Here is a 12782-nt window from a genome sequence, read left to right as displayed (position 1 = left end):
TGTTGAGAATTTAACTAGAGGAAGAGGGTGAACTGCTAAGATTAAATGACTGACTGGACAAGAGTTGATGTTAAGGGGAAGAACAAGTTACACTCAAGGGTTTTGAGCTTGTTGTGATGAGATTGATTGTGATGCTTCTAAATTAGGACATGAAGGGGATACAACAGGCTTGGGGTGGAAAAGAGGAGAAAGGAAGATGACTTTAGCATAGGGTATTTTGAGATTTTTAGGTAAGAATAGCACACATACTTAGCATGTGCTAAGAAATAAATGGAGTTGTGAATGAGGAACTCAGGAAAGAATTCAGAGCATGGAATGTCGCTTTAATTTGATCTATAGTAAGAATAAGAAATTTGGGGTAAGTTGAGATGATGAAAGGAAAATTTATCTTTCTTAGGAAAACTGTAAGATTTAATGCTTGATGTGTTTGTGTTCTGGAGGGAACCTGCTGTGTGACTGGGACCATTTGAAGTTAGAAAAGAAGAGGGTTAAAAACTGTTTGGGCAGTGTTTGCTTTGAACAGTTGGTCAGAGTAAATCAAGAAGGAGTGGTGAGAGAGGGAAGAGGAGACCAAGGAGAGCCCTTTGCTACATCAGTCAACTGATGAGTGTCCAGGGCATAAACAAAGTTATACAATAGAATGATTAAATGATTATACAAAATATTCCTTTTGTCCAATCCAGTGTGTTCCATTTACCTCATTTGAATAAAATGCAAACCATTAACAGAATCTAATAGGATGATTTCATAACATTAGTTTATTTTAAAAGGAATTTAATTAAAAACATGACCTTTGTGTTATTCATTTTCTTAAGAGCTAAATATAACTGGTAGTATCTTTTTATTTGTGCATGTTTTAGGCCCATCTTTATCTTTGAGATCTACTTACCCTCCGAACGTGTGTTTTTATTTGGAGCTGAAACATCTCAAGCTCAAAGAAAATGGACAGAGGCAATAGCCAAGGTATTTAAATATTATGTTACTGCTCTAAATCCAGAGAAGATTGTGAACTGGGAGTCTGTGTTTGAGCTTCAGGGGTCCATGAAAGTTTTATATAAGATTGTAGGAATAAAGTTCATACTTCATTAGATTTTCAAAAAAAGTAGTCAAAAGAGGTAGCTACCTTCTAGGAGCCTTAAGCAGGGAAGAAATTAAAGTAAGACTTGGAGAAATCATTCTTCAAATTAAGGCCATGTTTTTGATGGTTAGGATATTCTCAATACTGTAAAGTCATTTCTGTATAAGTCTTTTTATAGGTAGATATTTTATTCAAGGTATACACAAAGGAGAAAAGAGCAGATTCAGGAAAATATATAAATGGAGAAAAATGCTGAAGGTTGACATTTTGAAAAGTTCCACAAATCAGTTAAGAGAATGCCTTGCAGTTTCAACTCTATACATAGCAAGAAAAATGGTTTAAGATGCTGCCATTTGAAAATGCATTATAGTTGTTCAGTTTTAAGACTGATAGCAAGTTTAGTTGTTTTGAATTTGGTGTTACCTTTGAATCTTTAAAATTGAAAAACTAAGATAATTTGTCTACCTTCTCTCATATCAGTAGATAGGGAAGGGATTTCCTATTTTCACTGTCTTTATTACTTTTTTGTATTTGTTTTAACAGCATTTTGTTCCCTTATTTGCTGAAAACTTAACAGAAGCTGACTATGATTTGATTGGTCAACTCTTCTACAAAGACTGCCATGCCCTGGATCAGTGGAGAAAAGGCTGGTTTGCTATGGACAAATCCAGCTTGCATTTTTGCCTTCAAATGCAAGAAGTTCAGGGAGATAGAATGCACTTAAGAAGACTGCAAGAGCTAAGTAAGAGCTTTTTTCTTCCCTTATCTTTGGAACACTTTTCTTTATTGCATACAATAGTGATAGCCTTTAGTAAGATCTTGATGGCTTACTCCCAAACTTATGACTAAGCAGTATTAATATTTGTGTCTTCATGGGTGTTTATTACAGTGTTTTAAAAAATAAATTTTTGCTTTTCATTCTCCCTTCAGCAATCAGCACAATGGTTCAAAATGGGGAAAAACTGGATGTTTTACTCTTGGTAGAAAAAGGGAGGTAAGTGCCTTTTTGCTTTTTATTCCTTATCTCAACAACTCTGGGCAGCGGGATTTTGTTTTTTGTTATTATCTTGAGGGAGAAAACAATATTTTAAAACCTGTTGAAATTTTCTGAATCATATAAATATACATATATAGTATATATTAGCTCTCTTTGGAAAGACTATACCAATGATATTTACATATCTTTATAATTTTTATGACAAACTTATTGTGATCAATTATTGTATAGTTTTCTATAGACCTAGATTCCTCTGTGACATTTGCATTTAAATATTTGGAAAGCAGTTTGGTAATTATAAATATATCTTCATTGTAAGAATATGATGACTATAAATTATATTCTGAATTATCTATGCATGTGGGTCATGCATAGCTAAAACTTGATTTCTTGAATTTATTCAGTTTTTCAGTAACTATTAAGCATCTACTGTGCATCAGGGACTCTTAAAGGTATTGGTGATATCATGATGAGTAAACAGACAAGTCCCTACCATCATGAAACATGTATATTATTAGGGAAAACAGTGTAAGCAGACAAAAATAATTATATGCTATTCTGTCCATCAATTTTAAATTCTACACAGAAAAATAAGCAATATAAAAATAGTCTGATGGGATAGTATCCGTGTTTGCTAGCTAAGAAAAGAGATCTTGAATGAAAGAGCTTCATAAAACGAAAAAGTAAACTTTGCAGTAATCCAGATAGAGTATTTCAGGTGTAGGGCCAAGGGTATTTGAAAACGCTAAGAGTGTGTTGTGCTTGGCATGTCCAAGTTCTGCAAGGAAGCTGTGGTGGCTGGGAATATTTGAATGAAAGAGAGAGTGGGAAGAAATGATTTCAGAGATACCCACAACCTGATCATGTAGGGCCTTATCGGTCATGATGTGTGAATATTTGAAATTTAATCAAAATATGATGGGAAGCTGCTCAGTTTGAGAGCTGGGGAGTGGAATGGTCTGATTTATGTTTTTACAGGATTACTCTGACTCCAGATGAATAAGCTTCTGGGGGACAAAAGTGAAAGTGGGTGTTTAGTCAGGATGCTGGGCAGGAAAGCAGTGACTTACCTGAGAATAGGAGTGAGTGGATGTTTCGTGAAGTTAGAGGTGTCAGGATCTGCTGATGGATTAGATAAGTGTAAGAGTCAAGGATGATCCCAGAATTTTTGACCTGAACAATTACTGAATTATGGTGCTGTTTTTTTGAGAGAACAAATTCTTGGAGAATAGAGGTGTAGGATATTAGTAAGTTTAAGACAGTAGATCAAGAGTTTGGTTTTGGGAATGGTAACTCGGAGATGTCTCTTTGGTGGCAAAGTGGATCTGGTGAGTAAGCGGTTGAATACGCATGTCTAAAATTAAGTGAAGAGGTTGTATCTGGAGATATAAATTTGGGAGTCACCACTGTGTTGACGCTATTTTGCCAAGGAACTGGACGGGTTCACCTCATGGAGAGTATAGCTAGAAAAGAGAGTTGAAGACATAGCCGGAGGTCCCCCAATATGTAAAGGTCTAGAATAGGAGAATGATCACACAAAGAAGCCTAGGAAGGAGCAGCCAGGGACATACCAGAGCAATAAGGAAGACAGTTTCTTTTATTTTTAATTTTGGATTCAAGGGGCACATATCTACATATGTGCAGGTTTGTTGCATGGATATATTGTGTAGTGCTAGGGTTTGGGATTCTATTGAGCCCATCACCCAAATAGTGACCGTAGCACCCAATAGGTAGTTTTTCAGCCCTTGCCCCCTTTGGTCCCCACTTTTGGAGTCCTCAGTGTCTATTATTTCCATCTCTATTTCCATGTAACTCATTGTTTAACTCCCACTTATAAGTGAGTACATGCAGTATTTGATTTTCTGTTTCTGTGTTAATTCACTTAGGATAAGGACCTTCAGCTGCATCCATGTTGCTGCAAAGGACTTGACTTCATTCCTATTTATGGTTGTGTAGTATTCCATGGTATATATGACGACATTTTCCTTAGCCCGTCAACCACTGATCGGCACTTGAGTTGATTCCACGTCTTTACTCTTGTGAATAGTGCTGTGATAAACATATGAGTTCAGGTGTCTTTTTGGTAGAACCATTTTTTTTTCCTTTGGATAGATACCTAGTAGTGGGATTGCTGGATCAAATGGTAGTTCTATTTTTAGTTCTTTGGGAAATCTTCAAACTGCCTTTCTTCTTCAACAAATTGGTTTTTTTCCCCTTGGCTTCTTGTAATTTGCTTAAAAAAACTCTTAATTACACTGGTTCAGTATGGTTTGCTGTATAATAGTGCAAGATTATTTGTATTCTTACAATAAAGTAAGCTAGAGAAAAGAAAATGCTATTAAAATCATAAGGGAAAACATATTTACTATTCATTAAGTGGAAGTAGATCATCATGAAGGTATTCATCTGTGTCGTCTTTATATATGTAGGTTGAGGAGGAGGAGAGGTTGATCATGCTGTCTCAGGGGTGGCAGAGGCAAAAGAAAAATCTGTGTATAAAGGGATCTGTGCAGTTCAATCTTATCTTGTTCAATGTTTAACTGCGATATAAAAATATAGCTAAATAAGCCTTCATTTGATTATTTTTATTGCTGTGACAAGGATAATGACTTTCAGTGGTTATCTGAACCTGCCTTTCCTTCAACTTCATGGGACGACATCAAGAGCTTTATACAGCGAGCATATTGCTGATTAGATATTTATGTCAGATTGTGTTTTTTAGCTTCTAGGCGTAATTAGGACTTTGCATTTTTACTTATTTCTTAGATTATTATGGTTAATGATACTTTAGATTCTTATTTTTGTTACTAGATGATGATTTCACTATACCGTGAGAGTATTGTTAATTTTATGTCCAGAAATAATGAGGAATTATTAGGTATAGATAGGATTTGACATTAAAATACTAGCATAAATGCAGTTTTACAATCATTTATTAATATTTATGGAATGCCTACTAACTGCTACTTCCATGGCAGGAAAATAAAAAAGGTAAACAATTCAAACTTGGTGTCTGACCCCTCAGAGCTTATGTTCTTAAACAAATAGACAAGTATCAGCTTAACAAATGTGTTTATCCTTTTCATTTTTTCAGGTTATTATAACCAACGTATTTTTGTACCCTTTTTTTTAACCTATGGAGTATTTGGCCAATGATACATAGGTTTTAATTAAAATGTAGCAAACATGGATTAGAATGATTCAGTTTAATGTAATTCTATTTAGTGCTTACTGCATGCAGTCCAGCCCCTCATATATGGAAGATATGGAAGCCAGAGCACTAAATGTTTTATTATTTTGTACATTTTGATCTTACCGCTGGACTGCAGAAATCAGGAGATGAAATTCATTTGTAATATTATTTTTGAGTTCATGGAAAAGTAGAAAACTAATGAAATTCCAAAATAATGGTCACAGACAGTTAATAACATTTTTGGTAATTGAAAGTTTTCGTCTACATGTGTTACTAACAAGTTATGTTCAAAGTATTTTTATGAAAGTGAAGAGTAATAATAGGAGTGGGAGAAATGTGAGGATAAATATAACCAAGTTACTTTCTGTAAATCTCTTCGTATAGCTAATGTACCATCCCCACCATTTAAACGCAATTATATTATCACATGCTTCTGTCTTTGGTTTACTTGCTTTTCCTTTTTACTCCAAATCAATAATCATCTGATAATAACAATGATGACAATGGGGGCAGTTACCATGTGCCAAGCCCCATTTTAAGTACTTAAACAGCCTTCTTTTGCCTATATGGTATTGAGGAAAATAATTCATTTTGAAGTTAAAGTAAGGTCAATTTGTAACTTAAATTTTTTTTTAAAAATCAAGTGTTCAGTATTAATTTACCAATACCTTTGTAGAGATCTTTCTCAGGATATAAAGCAACAAGTGTTCTAGGAGTCTGGATAGACACTATAAGTTACTAGAATTCAAAATTGAAGCATTTATTAGAAAAATAAAAATGTTTACTAGAAAACATTTTTATAAAATTATTAGAAAACGTGTCCATAGAATTCCTACCTAATTGAAAATGGAGTAGAGAGAAGGGAGGTCCACCGTGTGCATAAAAGTAAAGAATCTGCACAATAGATGCCAAGAATGTGAGGTTATGAACCCTGATAGAACAAGAACAAAGACTATACATACGTGACAGGCACAGCACCCTGTATGGTGCAAAACAGAGTCTCATATCTACTTATTTACATAGACACATAAACATATGTTTGTGTATTCTGTGACTACATAGACATCATATAGGAAATAGTGGAAAAAGGAGCAGGTTTGGGAGAGAGCCTGGGAGATAATGAGTTTAAGACATGTTGAGCATGAGATTCTTATAAGAAATCTAAGAATAAATTGATGGGAGAAAGTTATTTTTTATGGATAAGATATTCATGAAAAGATTAACAGATTGGAGATACAGATTTTGGAGTTGCCAGCGTAAAGAAGGAAGAAAGTGAAATTACTTAGGGTGATTCTGTGGAAATAAAAAGGAAGAAGTCCTGTGTTGGAGCTTTGATGACTATACATCATTTTGGGTTAGGGGAATTTGTCAGGGAGAAGTAGCTGCTTGTTTCCTCAGAGAGTGAGGCCAGAAACTAAGAGAGAGTACAAAGTGTTACAAAGCCCAGGAAGAGGGTGTCTCAAAAAGGAAGGATCAGTTAAAAATGTCAAGTGCTGACAGAAGGACATGCCTAGTGAGAATACATACTCCATAAGATAAGTGATTTGGAGTCCCTCTGGTGACTTGGGGGAGAGCAGAAGTGAACAGGCAGGTACTAGATCAGATTAAGAATGGAAATTGAGTAAACCAAGACAGCTAGTGAGGTCACTTTGTCAAAGATATCTGGAGGGAGGTTCATAGGATTAACGAGGTAAGGGGTTTGACCCAGAAAGGGCATATATGTGCAGTTTGTTTTCAGATGGCTTAAACTTACACAAGTTTAAATTTTGATGGAAAAGAAACAGAAAATGGGAGAGATTGAAGGTCTAAGAGAGAGTACAAACAAGAGAGCAAGATCCCTCAACTGCAAAAGTAAGAAAAGAAGAATTGATGGATGATTTTGGATGTTGATAGTTTTCTCCATGTGGTAGTGGGATGTTGAGAGAGATACCAGTCAATTTTCAATTGCTTTGTGAACTAGGAGATAAGAGTGATGATCCCTGAGCTTCTGGCATGGGTGATGCTATGAATGATAGTATCATTTGCCAAGATAGAGAATATGCACTTCTCTCCCAGTACTCAAACATAGCTAGTTAATTATAGCTGTGATTGTTGAAAAGCTGTTTCAGTACCATGCCAAAATGAGAAAATTTCATTGTACCACCCTTGTTTTCATCTCCCTTTTGATCTATTAGCCCTTTGGGAAATGATGACTGTCAGCAATGGTAGATTCTGTTGGACTTGTCAGTGACAGATAAAATTGTGGCTTTTGGAAGTAACACAACTTCCAATTATTTATACTGTTGGCCTATAGAGATAGTGTGAATGATTGAAAGAAAGAGAAACCAACCAGCTATAAGCTTGAACCTTATATTTTTGCTAGTAACAGCTTGAGCCAGAAATGTAAATCATACATAAATTTAATGAATTAATTTCACATATTTTTCCTGTTCTTATCTACCTTTGATTAAAATGCTAAACTACATTAATGTTTCTTAAAGGCAAAGAGGAGAAAGAACCCCCTAAACTGGAAATGTTCATAAATTGATAATTATCCCCTGTATATAGTCACTATTTAGATAGATATTTTAATCTTCATGGTCATTTTCTCTATATGCATAGCATGAGTGTCTTTAGACAGAAAAATATTGCAATAATATTTTCCACACACACAGCATTTTTGCTCTAAAAAGCTCTAAACAGAAGGTGTTCCAGATGGTGTCGTTTTAATGTGTATTCCTTGTATACTTTAAAAATTATTTTGGAAAATAAAGCTTTCTTGATCACACTTAGGGGTTTCTGGCATGCTATTTGATGTTGTTATTGGGACTTAGATCCTGTGCTTTTCTTTTAGACCTTAGTACTGTTTGTGCAAATAAAAAAATAATATTGTCAAATATCACTTGTTAGTGAATATTCTAGACCAGGAAGGCAGAAGGCATTTTCCTGGACGGTAGGAAATTGTATCATCACTTTGACTGAAATGTTCAAGAAATTACATCTTTTTCTCAAAATTTGAGAACTATTTTTGCACTTTAACCTACATCTTCTGCATATCTTTTTCTAAGAAATAAGTTACTGTGTTTACCATTTTCACATTCCATAGCTGCATGCCCATTGCCATAGACACTTATTATGCTTTTGTTGAAAGGTTGTTGGTTCTAATAAACACAGTGTGAATAAGTAAACTGTGTTATCAGAAACAGAAAAGGCTAGTGTGTTTTTTTGTTTTACATTCCTTAGTTGATATATAATAAAGCATAATACACTTGATGTCTCCCAAGCTTGACTGCATTTTAGTTTTAATTGCAAATTCTTCACATAAAGAAGCTTAATACTGGGGAATAAACACTTTATCAGTATGTTTCACAATTATGGAACAGATTACTTTTCTCAGTTTGGGAGATTAGCACCCTAAGTTTAGTTTTCCTTATTTCCTATCACCTTATTCCATATGATCTTTTCTCCCCCTTGAATGTGTTTTATAGCAGCTAATATGTTAGCAATACTCCAGAGGCTGAATTATCTTAAAGTGGTTTTTAAATTGTGCATGTAATTGCAAATTAAACAGTAGCCTATTGCCCACAATATAAGCTTGACTGCTTTTGTAACTTTCTGATGATTTAATTCTTAGAGATGGCTTAATCTGAATATTGCCAAGGCAAACAAGAGATTCTCTTCTCTCACCACTCCCACAGGTTTTTAAAAAAGAAAGAGACTATTACAAAACAAATATTAAGTGATTTTATGTTAAAGAAAATTATGAAGAAGGGAATGTATGTCTATTAACAAAAGGTAGATTTTAAAACGTGTATTATTTGCTTCAACAATTTTGTTTCAGTTAGTTCAAAGTACCTCTATGTACCAGGAGATAAGCTTATGAAGAAATAAGTATGATATGATGGGGAAAAAATGGACAAAAGAATGAGCAAATCCCTCTAAGATGTGTGTGTGTGTGTGTGTGTGTGTGTGTGTGTGTGTATTGTTTTTGTTTTGTTTTTTAAAGAAAAGTATTTTTATCTGGATCTACAATCCAATGAAGGACTTTAGTAGGAAAAAATGAAGGGGGCCTGAGACACTAAGGTAGTCCAAGAGGTGGAAATAATAGGTTCAGAGAAATAGGATGGGCTAGAAACAACCTCAGTATGGGTTGGCCTTAACCTTGAGTGCTTGAGGAGGACACATGTGACAATGGGCCTGGAAAGATAGATTGATACTCTATTAGTATTTTCTATTGAATTTAATTCATAACTTGCCTTATTCTGGAAAGGATTGCAGAGTAATTCCTGAGTATTTGGAAGTTAAACATGCTTCCAAATAAGCCATACTTCACAGTAGAAATCACAGGAAAAATTAGGAAATATTTGATCAATGATAATACAATCATAACATCAAATTTGTGTGATGGAGCTATAAAACTATTTACAAGGAAGTTGAAAGCTTTAAATGCTTACACTAAATCAAATCCTCTTTGAAGCTTTAAATGCTTACACTAAAATCCATCCTCTAAACTTTTACCTTAAAAATCTAAAAAAGAGCAAATTAGACCCAAAGTGGTTCAGAGAATGAATTGATACAGACAGTAGAAAGAATGAATAAACGGAATATATTTTTAAAAAATCTGAGCCACAAATAGCTGGTCCTTTGAAATAATCAATTTATTTAATAAATTTTTAACTTTTTTTGGAAAAGTTAAGAAAATTGATAAAACTCTAACTAGAAGATAGGACAGAAGATACAAATCACCATTGTTATAAAACTGTGCATCAGTTTAATATTTAAAATATAAGAAAATATTACGACCAACTTCATACCAATGAATTTAACACATTGGATATAATCAAAAAATTCTCTCAAATGCAGGAATTAGGCAAACATATTTATTCCCACCACTTCTATTTAATATTGTGGGTTTAATATGATAAAGCAAGGAAATTAGAAAAAATCACAAGTATTGGAATTATAAGTTAAAAACTCAATTATAATTTGTTCTTTAAGCAACATGGTTAATAAAATGAAATCATACACTGGTACTATTCAAAATACACGTGTCTGATAAAGCACTCATATCCAAAACATGGACAGAATACATATAACTAGAAGACAAAAACCCAATAAAATAGCAAAAAATGATGAATAGAAATGTCTAAAAGGATGTCTATGAATAGCCAACAAGCACATGTAAAGTTAAGTACCAGAGAAATACAAATTAAAACCACAGTGAGATCACACTGAAAAAACTAAGTTTTTTAGAAAGTGGCAGTGCAAAGTGTTGGCAAGTATGGTGGGATTGTAAAATAGTACATTCATTTTGGGAAGCAGTTTAGCAGGTTTTTGTTTTTTAAAATAATACAGTTGGTTTACACTTAACTATACATCCCAACAAATGAGCTGCTAGGTATTTGCCCAAAACAAATCATAATATATGTCCACAAAATGACTCCTATACAAATATTCAAATCAGCTTTATTTATGATATAAAGTGAGGAGACCCCAAATGATTTTTAGTCAGTGAATGTGTTAACAGAGTATGGTATGTGTTCATATGTGAAGTACTGATTATCATTATAAAGGGACCTATATTAACAACAACATGAATGAATCTTAAAAAACATTGTGCTGAATAAAAGAAGCCAGACACAAAAGAGTAATACTGTGTAATTCCATTCCTATGAAGCTTTAGAGCTGGGAAACTAATGAATGGTGAGAGAAGGCAGATAAGTTCTTGCCTAAGATTGTGGGTGGGGAAAGGAATGCAATGCAAAGAGTTATGAGTGAACATTGTGAGTGATGGAAATGGTCTACATATTAATCATGGTGGTAGTTACACAAGTGTACACATTTGCAAAAATATTTCAAACCATACACTTAAAATGAGTTCATTAAAAATTCTAATGACCAAACATCACTCACAGAAATAACACAATTCATACTTTTCCAGAAGAAAACAAACCCAAAAGCTTATTTGGATGAGAAGTAGGGTCTTCTTTGAGAGGCTGCTTAGGAAGTATAAAGAAAAATGCACAGCATACCCTTCTAAAGCTATCTTCCAAAGTCCTATGCATTACATTTCCAACATGCCTAGGATGCTTTTCAAGGCAGAATGTAAGTGTACAGTCTTGAAGAAGAGAAATAGGTCTTCTATTATGAGTGGCTTTAGTAGATCATCTTTCACGTCCATTCTAATAGTGTGACTGTAATAAATTGTTCAGGAAATTCTGTTTCATGAATCTTAGGTGTGATAGGACTAAGAAGAAAGGCAACAGAAATACACATCAGCATTTCACTTCTGGAATAAGTATTTTTGGACTCGAGGACCAGAGTTTTAAATTATGGAGATCTGATTCCTCAGGTAAAGGAAAGCTCATGAACTAGGCTAGTACTGAGTAGCTCAAATGTGCAATTCCTACCTAGTTCTGATACCTTAAACACGTTGTTTCTGGCTCTTAGTTTCCTAGTCATATATGGAAAAAAAAACTTGGCAGAGATATTTCCAGTTCTCTGGCTCAAAAGCTCAATGACAGTCTAAGATGGCATGTTTCAGACGGCTTTAAATATCTTTTCCTTTAAGGGATCAGTCAAAACTTCGGCTTATGTGATTTGTTTCTAATTACATTTTTAAAAACACAGACATGTATAAAGAAGGAAACAAAATGTCCATGAGTTTTCTACACAGAGTTAATTTAACATTTTAGGAAATGCAATTGGATTTATACATATGTGCGATTATGCATTCTCTGCTCATTGTACTAAGTTTATAATATATATCTCTGGATGTAGCTAAATCACTTAACCTTTCCCTAGTTTTTGGGATTTCAACTTATTTCCATTTTTGCAATGCTTGGCTAAATGCATGTGTTTGTGTGCATGTGCACATGTGCATGAGAGAGGAACAGAAATATATTGAAAGAAACAGATATTGTGCCTTCATTTCAAATCATGTACTTATGAAAGAGTCCTGTGGTTGGAACTAATTGTCAAAACTAATGCATACGTATTTTAAGATTCTTAGAACATATTTTCAAATTTATTTTTAGAGTATCTCATCAGCCTTTAAAATGCTATGCTCATCTTGTTATACTCCAGTGATGAACATTAAACATTTTAGATCTTTGATAAATTGCCTTTGACACATCATTGATTTTACATATATACGTGTATATGTGTGTGTGTGTGTGTGTGTGTGTGCGCGCGCGCGTGTATGTGTGTGTCCATTCTAATAGTGTGACTTTGTAATAAGTTGCTCAGGAAATTCTGTTTTGTGAATCTTAGGTGTGATAGGACTGAGATACACAGACACGCACACACACACACACACACACACACACACACACACATATATTTGATTCTTAGACTGGTTTGTGGTTACATCGGCTAATTCTTTCTGTGACTTACCTTTCCATGGCTGATAACCGTATTTCTGTGGAAGACTTACTATTTTATTTTTGTATAAATCCTTAGGATATTATCTTTTCCAGCCATATTTGTAGAGTATTTCATTTGCTTTTCAGTTTTGTTTAAAATCTTTTTTATAT

At 34.0% G+C, this 12782-nt stretch overlaps 1 protein-coding gene across 17 annotated transcripts in view; it reads left to right on the top strand.

Moving 5' to 3' along the window:
- ARAP2 (ArfGAP with RhoGAP domain, ankyrin repeat and PH domain 2) overlaps window positions 1–12782 on the top strand; it is a 239381-nt gene that overhangs the window by 95417 nt on the left and 131182 nt on the right. For 15 of the 17 annotated variants that reach the window (XR_007096351.1, XR_007096352.1, XR_007096353.1 and 12 more), the window contains 3 exons: window positions 861–963; window positions 1622–1820; window positions 2009–2072. Coding sequence is in view for 7 of the 17 variants with exons in the window: in XM_047449575.1 (XP_047305531.1) it covers window positions 861–963; window positions 1622–1820; window positions 2009–2072 (366 nt within the window). In the remaining 10 variants the exon portion in view is untranslated. Of the gene's footprint in view, window positions 1–860; window positions 964–1621; window positions 1821–2008; window positions 2073–12782 lie in introns of those variants that run through there. The other 2 variants (NR_146894.2, XM_047449576.1) reach the window with 2 other exon arrangements.

Source organism: Homo sapiens, chromosome 4 (assembly GCF_000001405.40).
Source record: "Homo sapiens chromosome 4, GRCh38.p14 Primary Assembly".
Lineage (NCBI taxonomy): Eukaryota > Metazoa > Chordata > Mammalia > Primates > Hominidae > Homo > Homo sapiens.
The sequence above is the reverse complement of the archived record's forward strand: the minus strand, read 5'-3'. Positions and strand labels throughout refer to the sequence as shown.